Genomic DNA, 15,645 nt, shown 5'->3' with positions numbered 1-15,645 from the left:
GGTAAAAAATTAGCAGAGTTTTCGATTAGCATACAAGCACTTGAGTCCCTGCCACTGAATGGTTAACAAAATCAACAAAGTCAATAGTCACAAACGTCATTATTTGCAGGTTTTCAAGTCCAGACTTCTTTGAAATAGTGATGGATGGTCTCTTGCTGCTAATAAAAAATTGTAAAAATCTGTCTATGATACAAGAGTCCAATTCTAACATAATAAAGGGGAGACTATGGGCAGAACACCTAAAGCCAAGTTTATGATTTCCCAATCAATAACCAAAGCTATTAGCACAAGAAAGGGAGATCCATAATGATGGAGAATTTCTGTTGTTCCCTCTCTCCATTAGATGCTAGGGTATTGAGAACAGATTCTATATTTTATAACTTACTTTGTAATCTTAGGATGTAACACAGTGCCTGACAGAGTAGAAGTCAATATACGTTTGCTTCACAAATAAATGACAACTTTCATGATAAAAGGTTCATATGTCTGCAGATTTCACAGTTTTGAAGAGATTTTCAGTAATATTCAGACATTTATACAAAGAACTTAAATGATTTCCAAGGTCACAGTTTCTTAATAATAAGCATGGCTCTAGAACTTAGGCCTACTTACTCCTAATACAGTGTGCTTAGCTATATTTTTAAATATCAAAATGCATATACTATGAGCATAAATTTTATGGGTCAATTAAAAATTTCCTAACATATTATTAGATGGTATCTGTCTTTAAGCTTATAATATATTTTCCTTCTAGGGTTAATGCTGGAATCACACACAAGTCAAGGGAGAATCCAGTTGACCACTGAAATTTCAATTTTCAGTGTAAAATGAAGAGGTTATCTCTGATGTGTGCTTGCTAAACACCTTAGAGATCTAGATTTCTGACTATATATTTGTATGTCTTTATTTTGGTCAAAATTTAAAGCACATTATGCAATCCCTGTAAAATAAGCCCTTGGTGCTTGAGTATTATACTAGTTTATCTTTCATAAATTAAGCTAAACAATCTGAATGCTGCCTTTGGTGGCCAAATTATTCTGCTGTAACATGATCAATTATCTATATTGAATAATTGAACTCTTCAAGAAATAAGTGACACATCCCTTTACAAATGTAGTGACCAGCCTGGGCAACATAGTGAGACCCCCATCTCTCCAAAAAAAAAAAAAAATAGCTGGATGTGGTGGCATATTCTTGTAGTCCCAGCTTCTAGGGAGGCTAAGACAGGAGAATTTCTTGAGCCCAGGAGGTCGAGGCTGCAGTGAGCCATGGTCACACCACTGCACTCCAGCCTGGGCAACAGAACAAGACCATGTCTCAAAAAAAAAAAAAATTACCTATATCTTGCGAAGTTTCCATTCTGTTCTGACTTAACTGTGCATGCCCTATTGGTATATATGAACATTTTCAAAGAAAACTTTTCAGTGACTGACATCTGAGGAACAAATCTGTGTCTCAAACTATGTTTGAAGTGATATCCTTTCACTAGTAGTCTTTTAAAATACTAAATATCAAATTTAGTTCTAAGAGATTACATAATTCATTTTTATAACTTAGATCAGTAATTCTCAAATAGAAATATAGCAGTGTCTCTGAGGGAGAGAGAGAACATTATAAGATATTAAATTTATTAAAGGGTACATAAGCTGGAAAAGGTTGAGAGAGCTTGTCACAAAGAAAAATTATCTGGACACCCCTGGAGATCTTACATCAAATGGAAAAAAGGAAGTTCACAAAAGTTAATTGATTTTAACAACATAAATGAAATCTAGAACAAATTAATTTTAATGACTATTTTCAAAGAATGATTAATTTGTTAATTATGAATTCTAAAACTAGAAGTTGGCATATGTATGGAATAATATGGACAATATTGGACTGAGGGCAAGAGAGAGCTGAGTTCAAGTCAGTTCTCTGCTATTAAATAATGGAGTCCTTCATTGTTCTGAATTTGTGTTTTCTTATGTGAATATGAAGGGACTAGCCTAGATGATTGCTAAATGACCTTAAAGTTCTACCCAATTCTTGTTTTTTTTTTTGTAAAAGCATTTTATAGCCCCCACACACACTAAAAATAGCACATAGTACATATGTAGAGGGATAATAGCTACAATTGTTTTCATAACTAGAACTTAAGTCCCTGACTATGGCAGACAGACTAGGAGATCATGCATTTTTTTTTTTTTTTGACACCTAGTTTCACTTTGTCTCCAGGCTGGAGGGCAATGGCTCAATCTCGGCTCACTGCAACATCCGCCTCCTGGATTCAAGCAATTCTCCTGCCTCAGCCTCCCGAGTAGCTGGGACTACAGGTGCACACCACCATGCCCAGCTAATTTTTGTATTTTTGGTACAGACGGGGTTTCACCATGTTGGCCAGGATGGTCTCGATCTCTTGACCTTGTGATCCACCCGCCTTGGCCTCCCAAAGTGCTGGGATTACAGGCATGAGCCATTGCGCCCAGCCGGAGATCACGCATCTTAACCAAGTCTATATATCAGAATCACTTGTGAACCATCATCCTCTTGGAAAATCTTATTTGAACATCTCTCCCAGTGATTTTTGACATCTATCTCTGGTTTTAAAGACTACAGTTCTAGACTGTCTCTTGACAAAACGTTTCTTTGGGTTGCAAAAATCTATGCTAACATGGGAAACAAATGCAAAATCATAATTAATTTCAAAATAGATCATTTCTTTCCTACCCATTTGTGGATAAACACAATCTCTCTTATTTTTGATTCTCACTGGATCAGAGCTGATCAGACCTTAGATATTTAACTTTTTTTCTTGAACCCATGACAGTAGAAGATCAGGTAATAGAAACTCAGTTGGCATTGAGATACAGTATGTATAAATAAAGAGGAACACACATATGTATTTTAAGTTATATATGTATATATGTTATATACATATTTGCATATATTTCATACCTCATATCTTCTGTTTGCTCCTCCAAATCCACTTGCCACCCTTTCCACCATTTTCCTCCCTGTTTTCTGCTGCGGGAGACTGACCTGAATGAACTATAATAGTTCCCATGCCCTCTGGCCAATAGGTAGCTCTGGTAGGACATCATAAAAAGGGAGAAGAATGAATTCAGTTTATTATGCTCCCGGATCACTCCTGGCAAAGTCGTCTTCAACTGGCTGTGTCCTTTGACCAGGTCTCCAGTTGGTAAGCTCTTTATGGCACGCTTTGCTTTCAAGTTCTGATAAGTGTTCCCTTCCCTTATCCCTTGAAGGATGGTAAAAGCTCTGATGCAATTGACCCCAGTTTGTCACACTAGTTCTTGTGGCTTCTCTGCCTTTACACTTTATAAATAGACCCTTGTAAATAAATCCTCCTGAAATTATCTTATTTGAGCATGCCATCTATTTCCTATTTACTGGGTTCCTGACTGATACTGTTTTTTATGTTAATGGTGCCTTTGAGAATATTTGATTAATACCAAAAATTATGGAATGCATGGAGACTTGAGCTTTAGTTTGTAAAAAAAAAAAAAAAAAAAAAAAAGAAGGAAAGAAAAAGCTTTAATTCTTCTAAAAACAGTATACCTTAGCAGCTGAAGAAGAGTGTGATAAATTGTGTTGAAATTGAGGTAGTGGTGGATATGAGAAAATGGGACATTGGTCTGATCTGTGATATGGAAATAAAGCAAGGAAATGTGAATTTTAACTGAATGCAAACACCAAGTCACAAGGCTGAGGCTGTTAGTATTTCTTTTCATGCTCCAGAGACACTTGATCTATAATATTGCATTCATCTGGGGGCAGCTCATTAACAGAAAAATACAGGCAAGCTGGAAGGAGTTCATAGAGGAGTAACAAAATGGTAAAAAGCACTGGAGGATTGACATGTGGGAAGAGATTAAAAAGATGAAATCACTCTGCTTTAGCTAAGTGGTGACTAAGGGGGAACATGTCAACTGTCTACAATTATGTGAAGGTTATAAATTCCAAAAGAAAGGCAGTGATTACTACAAATCAAGGTAGTGCTCTGTGTAAAGAGACACATTAACAAGGGAAAAGTTTAGATCAAATAACAGGACCATTTTCTAATGTAGAGCTATATTATGTCTTATAAAGCTAAGTGTTACACACTATAGCCTTTGAAAAAGACAAAAATGAAACAAATTACAAATCATTTCTTAATGATATATATGAATTCTCTGTAGCTAGATAGATTACATATCTATCCATCTATCTGTTGATATACCTTAGAAATCAGCCTTTTACAAACATATATCGGAATTGAAATAGTGACTGGTGCTATTACTATAGGTTTTGTGCTAGACATTTAACAAGAATCTTGTTTAATTTTAAACATTGTACTTTGACAATTAAGGCAACTGTGGGTTAGAACATCTGAGTAACATTCGGAAGGTCATCCAGCTAGTAAGCAGCAGAGCCAGGAAATGGACCCAGGGGTCTTCATTTCCATTCCTTTGCTAACTAACTCCTGGATAGTTAAAATATTTCAGTACATTATTATATCTTAAATTTTCATTATCCCATTATTTACATGGCTATATGAACTATTTTACTAATTTCCATAAAGCATTTTGTTGCTGATTTCCTTGACTACATAGCAATGTATTTCAGGTACCTTGAAATATAGCTACTTGTAGTCATCAAATCTGAAAGGCACAGACATTTCCGCAGCCATTACCCATTCTTGAGCAATCCATGTGGTCACCACCCATTCTAGCTATGTGGATGAGATAAAGCTCAAATAATTTCATTTCTTTATCCTTCTAGACACTAGTCACTTATAATTTTAGAAAATAATTTCTCCATCCACTACTTTATGCAATTCAAATTACCTAATAAGTTATACCATATTAATGAGGTTTTCATTTGAAAGAAATTATGCTATTGGGCTCTTTATAAAAAGAAAAACTAATCACCTTTCACACTTCGTATATTTTTTCAGTTTAATTAATAGATATTTTGAAAGAAAACCATGCTCATGTATAATATTTCAAACAGTACAGCAGACCATAAAGTAAAATGAATAGAGCCCCCATTCCTCTGCCATCTTTAAATTCTGTGGTTAGAAGTAAATACTGCTAACATTGTCTTTTGTATCCTTTCAGGAGTTTTCTATGTACATATCTGTACACATTTTCTTTTTTATCACTTAGCCATTTATCTTGGTTATCTTTCCATATTAGCACATAAAGTGCTACTTTATCCTTCTAAAACATTCTATTGTATGGGTTATTTATCCAATGCTCTTTCGAGAGGGACATTTAACAGGTTTGTAGAGACTGTTAAACGCACAATTCTGTTATGAACATAGATCTCTATTTATCTTTGTATACTTTCCCATACTGACAGAGCAAATTTCTAGCTGGGGCATTTCTCGGTCAAATTGTGTGCAGTTAAATTTTTATAGGTTTTTACCAAAATGACCATCCCCCAACTTGGGTTTTATGACATAAAAAAAACGTGACAGTTTAAGCAGGCTGTTCATACTTTAAAACTCATATTGAATTTCAAGGTGTGATGGTATCAACTTCTGCTTTGTGGGCATAAAATGGCCATTTGCAAAAGAACATTTTATTCTACGTAGATGTATTAGTCCTGGATCAGGCTTACCTTTGCCCACTTATATTTGTAAATCAATAACATGTCTTATCTGTATTTTCCCATGGCTTAATTAAAATAAATGTACTAATGTTTAAAATAATGAATTTGATTACTTCTTTGTTCTAGGCTTTTGCTTGGGTTATTTCTTCTACCTGGACAATCTGCCTTGCTCCAACCTTGCATGTCTAAATTCCACCTACCCTTCATGCTTTATTTAAAATGATACCTTCCCCATCTGAATCATGTTTCCTTCCTCAGAACTTTCAGCACCTCTATTTAACCCTTTTGTAATAAAGCTATACATTTATAAATCCCTGAAAATGATAGCTGTCATTATTAGTAGGCTCTGGATCTCTTCAGTTCTATAAATGTTCTTATCTTTCCCTGTTTGCACTTACCTGCTCCATGGATTAATTTAGTCCAAACTACATATTCAGTATTGTGATACTACTTTTATTTTATTTAAAAAAAATCCACATTTTCATTTTTAACATCAACTAATTAAAATAATATTTTTATCCTAAAGTTCCAGGATTTCCAATACAGCAGAACATGATTTAAAAATATCTGTTTGGAACTTAGCTCATAAACAAATACAGCTTTAAAAACTGCCAGTTAAATCTGAAACATACTGGTGGGAGTAGCATGGATGCTATCATATGCAAGGCCTTTAGGGGGAGGCTAGCAGGGTTGCAGGCTAGCATAGTTGACACGCCATTGGACCTATTTATAGAGCTGAGTTCTTTTTGCAATGTCAACTGTAACATTATACCTATTTTAAGCCTCAGTATCTCAAATGTCAGCCTCTACTAGTCGTACAGTTCTCTCTTATTTGATATCAGAGAGCCCAATGGAGCCTTCTGAAGTACCTAGTCAGATTAGCAAAGATAATTTTTTAGAAGTTCCTAATTTATCTGACTCTCTTTGTGAAGATGAAGAAGTTACTTTCCAACCTGGTTTCTCCCCTCAACCAAGTAGACGAGGTTCTGATTCTTCTGAAGACATATACCTGGATACCCCATCTTCAGGTACTAGAAGAGTTTCATTTGCTGATTCCTTTGGATTCAATCTTGTGTCTGTTAAAGAATTTGATTGCTGGGAATTACCGAGTGCTTCAACCACTTTTGACTTAGGGACGGACATTTTCCACACAGAAGAATATGTTTTAGCCCCACTGTTTGACTTGCCTTCTTCAAAAGAAGATCTTATGCAACAACTCCAAATACAGAAAGCAATACTGGAGTCAACTGAGTCTCTTCTTGGGTCTACAAGTATCAAGGGTATTATTCGAGTTTTGAATGTTTCTTTTGAGAAGTTAGTATATGTAAGAATGTCTTTAGATGACTGGCAGACACATTATGACATTTTAGCAGAATATGTTCCTAATTCATGTGATGGTGAAACTGACCAGTTCTCCTTTAAGATTGTATTGGTTCCTCCTTATCAAAAAGATGGCAGTAAAGTTGAGTTTTGTATACGTTATGAAACTTCTGTTGGTACATTTTGGTCAAATAATAATGGCACAAATTATACATTCATTTGTCAAAAGAAAGAACAAGAGCCGGAGCCTGTAAAACCATGGAAAGAAGTTCCTAACAGACAAATAAAAGGCTGCTTAAAGGTAAAATCAAGGTGAGGATATATCTTACATATTTTATTATTCACAATCTTAAAGTTTTTATGTCATTCTTTATTTCATGTGTTGTAAGAAAGTGACTCTATTTAAAAATATACTGCTTGCTATGTAAAAAACAATGGTGCCAGGCTTTAACAAGGTCAAAGCTATTCAAATAATAGCACTGTGTAACCCTTTCTACAAATGTGAGAAAAAATATGGCTGTAATGCAATAGGTTGGGAGAGAAGTGCACTGTGTATATTACTTGCCTAATGAGTTATAAATTATTCCTGCTCAAACCATGAAATCTAGATTATTCACATATAAAATTATTTACTTTGACATTTAAAGTACTTTTATTTTCAGTCGTTTTTAAATGTCTATGCTTTCCTTTGAAACAGTTTTGATTAACATAAAACTATATTTCAATATGTATCTAGTTCTCAGAAATTTGTAAACTTCTCCCAAAAGCTGCAAAGAACTTCTTCATAACTGTTTTGAGTTATACAGGGATGTTTGAAGTGATACATGTTAATTTAAATTATAAAAGAAATGACCTTAATGATTAACAGAAAGACATAAGTATATCAGTGATATATGAGTTACACACAAAATTTCATTAATTATAACCAAGAATAACATTATGGAACACAAATTAGTATAATTTAGTAAAAGTCAATGGAGCAGAACAAAAAATGACCCAAATATAAATAGGGATATTCAGCTATATAGATTAGAGATTTGGGATGTGACCCCTCATTAGTAACCTTACTCTCTTGTTAATGTGAAAAATAAGAAAAACTGGCATTCAGCTGTCTCGATAGTACATAGCTGGCTAATTTCTGTGACACTAGGTAAGTAGAGAAAACATTCAGGAGAAGTGAGACCCCTTCTGCTCCTCAGTATCCCAGAGGGAAAGTCTACATTGCTCCAGCCACAGGCAAATGTTTGATCATCCTCTGAGTGGTCCATCTTAACTGTCCCTAAACCCAAGGATTTTGGTAACTGTACCAGAAATAGTGTAATGTAGGAAATAGGAAATATAGGAAATAGGAAAGGGAACTGTTTTGGAATCAAGACACCCAGATTTAATTCTCTAAGGGGAATTTAATACAAAGCATAAGATACGATATTGGGAAATTTTTTTAAAAATTGTGCTTTAAACGATAAATAATAACTACTAAATGCATTGTTCCAATGTATTAATAAACTAAATGCAGTATAGATGGAAGCAATTCAAACATATATATTATGTTTATTTTCATTTTCCTTTAAAGTCATCTGAAATATTGGCTTAATCAACTTTGTGAATTAGGCCAACTTTCTTGGTCTAAATCAAACTTTCTTTGATTTTAACTGATGCTGTTAGGAAAGAGAGTATAATAATCTCTACATAGGCTAAAATAATAATTTAGATGTTTATGAAATTACTCTAACACATTAGCTACACTAACAAAATAAGTTCAACATTATTTAGCAAACTAATTTATATGCATAATATATACATATTAAATACTTTAGAAATGAGATAAGCATTAGTGAATATCTGTTAAACACACTGCAACTTGCTCTATATGTTAGAGAAACCAAAATTTAGAAAAGGCGCAGCATTATTGTCTAAAAGCTCATAAAAGAGGCAGTGTTGAACTCAGCGGATTTTTCTGCAATTTAATGCAGTTTTAAAATTCAAGCAATACCTGCTGAACTGTGGTTTGGATAGGGGATTCCTTTGATTCCTTTGATATGCCAAACTTGACTGATACCAAGGCAAAGACTAGCCAACTGATAGGCCTCATCTTCTACCTTGGTCATAATATTTTTGGAACTTCTCCTAGTTGAAGATATGTAGAACTATATGTATCCACACATACATTTGTATTCAGAACAGTAATCATTGGATTCACAGCGGACACCATTCAAGTTTTAATATTGCTTTGGGGAAAAACCTGAGAAGAACTAAACCACAAAATGGTCTGAAGGCCTGTAAAGTTTCCTAATGAGTTATAAAAATGGAAAAAATCTCTCTCCCTCAAAACCACAAATACATTTTCTGCACTTCTGTAACTTAAAAATGACCAACATAATTCGAACCACATTTTGAAAAAAGCATTTGCCTCTGGAGGAGGCATTTTGTGCTGAATTTCAGTCCAACATGAATTTTTACATCTGATTTATATACCACTCAAAATGGAGTGTATAAAGGAAATCCTGACAGATCCTTAGAACAGCATGTGCCATAATAGAATATTTATACAGCTTTTCCATGATATAATTTATATGCAATGGGGTTTCAAATATTCCTAAAACTCACACAAGAGAGCATTATCAAATTTCTAAATGAATATTGCAGTTGGATTTTATTGTGAAGAGTTTGGTTAGAGAAAAATAGCACACCTTATCGGTGTTATTTTACAAAATGTGTACTTGACTAAAATAAAAATGAACTAATACTTATTTGATCAAAAATTATAGCTACTAAAATCTCTTCTCTCCAAATAGTTACAGAATCTAAATGGGTCATTTCTGAGCATTTCTACACTTCCTATGTAGCTTAATTTGGAGGTTATTTCTTTCAGAAGGTAAAAACAGAATATATATATGTATATATATGTATGTGTATATATATGTATATGTATATATGTATGTATATGTATGTATATATGTATATGTATATATGTATATACATATACATACATATATATATATGATTTTTTCTTTATACCTGCAAATAGATTAGTAATAGTATGTAATATCAGTCATAGCTAAAATGAAAATCAGGCTGCCCTAGTGTAGAGAATAACAGCTAACTTCAATTCTTCTTAATAAAAAAGTTAATTTGCTATCAGGGTGCCTGAGATTGTATCTTCTGAAAGTGTCAATAATCCCTTCTAATAAGTATGGAATGAATGAATGTGGAAATACATTTAGGTAGGATTTCTGTTAAGTCAATCACCCACCCAGGCATTATGTTTTCTCTATGGAGATTTTTCTCATGTTAAGAGTTTGCAAATCTCCACATTGGTGTGGGTTGTCTATTTTCTTTTGATGCCTGATAGTCTGTACACTTTGGACAGAAAGAAATATGTAGAGAGAAGGGGAGGCAGAGCTTGTAACTCATAGGCATGTGATTGAGAGTGACCCAAAGATATTTAATTGCACCGAAAGGCATGCATCATGAGATACTTAAGTATCACCACATATGCTAGCAAACTAAGCAGATTCCTGATATATCTGATGGGTTTTATTTTAAAATCAATGACAAAAATGACATTGATATAAATCACATTAAATGTACATAGACAAATAAGCTAAAATGGCATGCAAAACAATATAACCTCAAAGTTAGGATTTTAGGCTTCAAAGTTAAAGATATCTGAGTTTGAATCCAAGCTCTCCTACATGCTAGCAATATGAACTTGGGCAAGTTAAGCTTGTTTTTCTGGTATGTTAATTGAGAACAACTACAGCTCTATCTCATAGGGGTTGAGATTTCGGTGAAGTAATACATATAAACTTTTAGCACAGTGTCTGGAACATAATAAGTTATCAGTAAATGTTAACTGCTGTAAAAAGACAATGGTAACTTCAGCTTTAGGTGTATCTGAAAAACTGCAAGGCTCAAGCTGCACCAAAGTTCTTCTCCTCTTTCATTTCAGGGCTTCTAAATTTTCAGCTTTGGAGAGCCATTCCTTTGTCTCTTGCAAGATTTTAATCAACAAGGAAGACTAACTGAACTGTAAATTTTCTTGAGAAATGTGTCACTTTATATATGAATTATCTTAAAGCTGGAAGAGAACTTAGGAATGTTAAAATTTCCACATTTAATAGATGAAAAAATGAAGAACTAGACCAAAAGGGATAAAAAGGCATTCATTTAGGATTGAACAGACATGCATATTAATTTCAGTAAAGTTTACACTTAGTAGCTATGTGGCTGTGGGCATATTACTTCAGAGCTCAAAGCCTCAGTTTATTCACCTGTCAAATAAGGGTCATGATGTCTAGTGTCACATTGATTAAAATAAGTTTATATACTTAAAGCTTTTAATATAGCATGTTAGACACACATGAGGATATCATCAAAAGCCCTTCATCACAATTGTCCCTTTTATTATCAAATCTTGTTCAGCTAATGTCCTGACTCTTGAACTTGCATTATTTCTCCATACATCATAGGTTTCCTTGTTTCAGGCTCCAAAACTTATTCAACAAATGTTTACTAAAGAACTGTATGTCAGGTTCTGAGTTGTTAGGCAGCAGTATCGATAACTGAGAAATGTGGCTGGAGACAGGCGCCTGTGAAGACAAGAAGAGGCCCCAAGGGAAAAGGCCTTGAAAAGCAGAGAGAAATGAAGGGAAGAGAGAAAACACCAAAACCAAGTTCAGATTCTCTGGGTATACAGTAGAAGCCATAGATAAAAAATGAAATAAGAATTATTTCCACTTGAGGTTTTCTAGAATATGTGACCTAGAGCTGACACTGTGTACTTACTGGCCTGGGGGGTGGTCTCCCTTCTCAGCATCTTGGCTTTTTTTCCCCACTGCCTGCTAAATGTATGTTCCTAATGGCTGGGTACACCGGTTGAGTTCATCTGGTTTTGTATTTTATTAAGTGAAACCAATTTATTATTTTAAGTAAAGAAACTGCATGATATAGGTGTTTGATGGTATTTATAACTTGGCCAGGTGAATGCAAATAAAGTCCTAAATGACTTTAATGCCAAAGGAGAAAATTGATTAGTCCTCAATTTTTGTACTGTAGGAAAAAAACCAGGTACGTTCAGGAACAGGAAAGAGAGAACTCCTTTCTAAAACATAATTTTAAGAATACAGAGGGTTTATCTTTCAGGGTGGTAAAATTGTGAAAATGAGGCCAAGAAAAGCATTGGGAAATGGGGTCTAAGATATGGCTACATTGTGTGTTTCAGTCAGAGCTGTTGGATTGTGAGACTTCCTTAATTTACGCATACAGTATAATCTGGGGTCCTGGAAATAGTCCAAAGAGGTGTAAATAGCCCCACGAGGCCTTTGGGACCTCACGTATGCCATAACTAACTCGTTTTGAGTCCACACTAATTGTGGAAGCTGGGTCTGTTTAAGGAGGGACCTCTGGCAAGGCCACGTGGAAACATAAAACACAGCTGTGCAGGGCCCATCAGGAGGGTGTTTGAAAGCAGCCAGCTGGTTGACAGCGAGGTGCCAACTGGCTTCAAGTTTCCTTGGAGGTCCACCAAGGCTTCATGGTTTCCTGGTTTTGTGGAAATCCATACCCCATCCTAGACTTTCCCTAGAGTGATTTTGAAACTTTTCTGAGAGAAGAGGAACAAAAGGGTATCCTCCTTCAGGGTGTCTCTCATGCTGTGGCTGAAAGGAGTCACTATGAATGCCATGCCTCAAATGGATCCTCTGGGATCTCTGAGAGCCTATCCCTCCCCACCTGAAGCCCATCTGCAGCCTGTAAAAATAAAGCAGAGCCCACTATTTCTGAGCCAAAAATGCTCCTGGCAAAAAAAGAAAAGAAAAGAAAAAAGGAAGAAGAAAAAGATGGCACCGTTATGAAGTGGGTCAACTTAGTTTTTCACCTTCCTCCACTTCTGCTAACTGTGACTCTCATCCCTATTCCAGGTTTTTACCCCTACCCCTCAACAGGAAATAATGCAGGGGAAAAGACCTCAAGGGCAGATATCTGAAGTGGATCCGATTGCCCAGGGCCCTATCAAACTTAAAAAATCCTCTATAATCTGACACCTCATTTTGTAACCTTGCCTAAAATTTACATATATGTGTTTGTGTATATATATATGTGTGTGTGTGTTGTATGCTTATATATGTATGTACACATGCACACACATGTGTGAGATTTTCCTTCTTAAATGGAGACCCCTCGAGGGTGGCAGGAGCTATTTCAATCTTATACCCATTGAGGTCAGTTGCACAGAGGCACTTTGAGTTTGGATTGAGAAAATGGAAATGTCTGATTTTAGAGCAGAGAGCACTACAGAATACAAGGTAGATTTAAGTACGTTGTGATAGGGTTCCATAGTAGTATGAGACTCATGGGGTCTGAAGTACATGTGTATATGGAGGATGGAGAATTCCAAAAACATTGAAGCATAATGGAAACAGCAAGGGCTTTAAAGTAAGGCAAGACCTTGAGGCTTTAATTCTAACTAATTACTATCTGCTTGACTTGGATAAATTATATTTTGTATCTATTTTATTCAAGTGTAAAATAGGGATAATAATTTCTACTTGGCAGAGTTGCTATGAGGAATACATTAGCTAACACATACAAGCATCTATTCCAGTTGCTGACATTTTGTAGATACTCAAAGTGGTAGTATTAATGACATTGGTGATAAATTCCACATTTTCCAATCTTGTGTATGGCTAGTACTGTGCCCAAGATTAACGGAGAAATGCTGTTTTCCCTCATCATTCCTGCTACCAGGACCCAGGCTAAAACAAATAGTTTCAAAATTAATCATGTTATGGTTCAATAAGTCTTGGGGGACTAGCCAGGGAGACGAGTATTTATAGCATTGCTTCTATGGGTAAATGATTTCCAAATTTTAGCAACTTCTGGGTCACACACAAAAAAAGCTTTGGAACATCACCTGTTCATAAATTGGAAACTGAGGACATGTTTTTCTTAAGGTAGTTCTTCTGAAGATGGTTCTTTTGGACTAAATATCTGAGTTGATTGCACACAATTCACCTTATTATCTCTTTATGCCTATGAATAGAAGATGAAATTGAAGTTTATATAATTCTCTTCTTCTAAGAAAATACATTATGCAACATCAAATTTCGGTCATTCCTCTGTTTTAAAGCATTCTATGTATCCCACAACTATACGAAAAGGAATATATCTCTTTTCAGAGTATTATCTCTCAAATCTTTTCTGGTGTCCATTCTGCTGCTTCAATAGCTTTACTAGGTTAACTAGCATGGTAGTGTTATTATCTGTTAAATAAAAATAACAACTGGTTTTGAAGCCTTAATCATGCCATCCTGCTGTTTAAAGATCTTATGATAAAAAGATGAAAACAAGGAATTTGCTAAATTTAACTGTTATACTGCATTGCTCAGGGACAGAGACCAATTAAACAAACCTGTCGTAGGAAATTCTAAAATTCCCTCCACACCAAGTTACTCTGAAAATGATCTGTCTGTGTTGTATATCAGCACTATTCAAGTCACAACTATGAATTGAATTTTAATATTGTAAGGTAATGGTTGTCTTATGTGTAGTCATGGTTTTGATTTTTATTTACACCTTTTGAAATTTGCAGTAGTAAAAAGGATTCAAGTACCCTCCCCATTGATATTTGTAAATTATACTGAATAGTGAAAATGCTTTTCCTAATTATGTGAAAACATTTCTTAGCCCATTGACACCATCAGAATATCATCCGTGGTATTTAGAGAATTAAGCCATGGTACAAACCTAACCTATTGACTATAAATCTGTATGAATAACCTCCAGCTGATTTTCATTTCTAAAAATTACTGTGGATGTGTTAACACAATTACAAATCACATAGAGTTGCTAAGATAAATTTCAGTTTCACAAACTATATTTGAAAAACAAAATATAGTCTATCAACCTCACCTTTTGAAGATTAATATTTATAAATAATTTTATTATATGTTAAAACAACTTAAATCTTGTAAGTACTTACCAATAGAAAAATTGAAGTTTTAAAAAGTCACATTTAGCTGCAGCAGAAAATAGATTATATTGTTCACATATAATCTTAAGTAGGTGCATAAGATTATTGTGTTTATTGTATTTAGTATTTAGTGTAAATATAGTTATAATTATTGTTTCCAATGTTAATACAGTACTTGATTTCTGAACAGTTTTTGTTGAATCCTTTTGTAGGAGAGACTATCTAATTCTATCCTTTGCTTTTAGCAGTATTCAGAAAACACCCAGGTCAAATGGTTATATATTTTCTTCTTAATCATCTTGATATGGTTTGGCTGTGTCCCCATCCAAATCTTACCTTGAATTGTAATAATCCCCACGTGTTAAGGGTGGGGCCAGGTGGAGATAATTGAATCATGGGGGTGGGTTCCCCCATACTGTTCTCGTGGTAGTGAATAAATCTCGTGAGATCTGATGGTTTTATAAATGGGAATTCACCTGCACAAGCTGTCTTGCCTGCTGTCATGTAAGATGTGCCTTCGCTTCTTTGTCTTCCGTCATGATTGTGAGGCCTCCCCAGCCAAGTGAAACTGTAAGTCCATTAAACCTCTTTCCTTTATAAGTTACGTAGTCTCAGGTATCTCTTTATTAGCAGTGTGAGAACAAACTAATACATATCTCTTGGGAAGATTATGTTCTTCAATAATGTGTTCTATCAGAAAAGTTCCATGACTTTAATGTAGCCACTTACGTTGTTCTGTCTTTAGTCATTTATTTACT

The 15,645-nt window shown here is 34.8% G+C and overlaps 1 protein-coding gene across 2 annotated transcripts in view; it reads left to right on the top strand.

Annotated features, from left to right (window-relative positions):
• PPP1R3A (protein phosphatase 1 regulatory subunit 3A) overlaps positions 6,433–15,645 on the top strand; it is a 42,233-nt gene continuing 33,020 nt past the window's right edge. The window contains exons 1-2 of one of the 2 annotated variants that reach the window (XM_005250473.4): positions 6,433–6,623; positions 7,145–7,227. In XM_005250473.4, the coding sequence (XP_005250530.1) occupies positions 6,528–6,623; positions 7,145–7,227 (179 nt within the window). In that variant the 5' untranslated portion in view covers positions 6,433–6,527. Of the gene's footprint in view, positions 7,228–15,645 lie in introns of both variants that reach the window. The other variant, NM_002711.4, reaches the window with a different exon arrangement.

Source organism: Homo sapiens, chromosome 7 (genome assembly GCF_000001405.40).
Source record: "Homo sapiens chromosome 7, GRCh38.p14 Primary Assembly".
In the NCBI taxonomy this organism is placed as follows: domain Eukaryota; kingdom Metazoa; phylum Chordata; class Mammalia; order Primates; family Hominidae; genus Homo; species Homo sapiens.
This window is presented reverse-complemented; position numbering and strand designations above follow the sequence as displayed.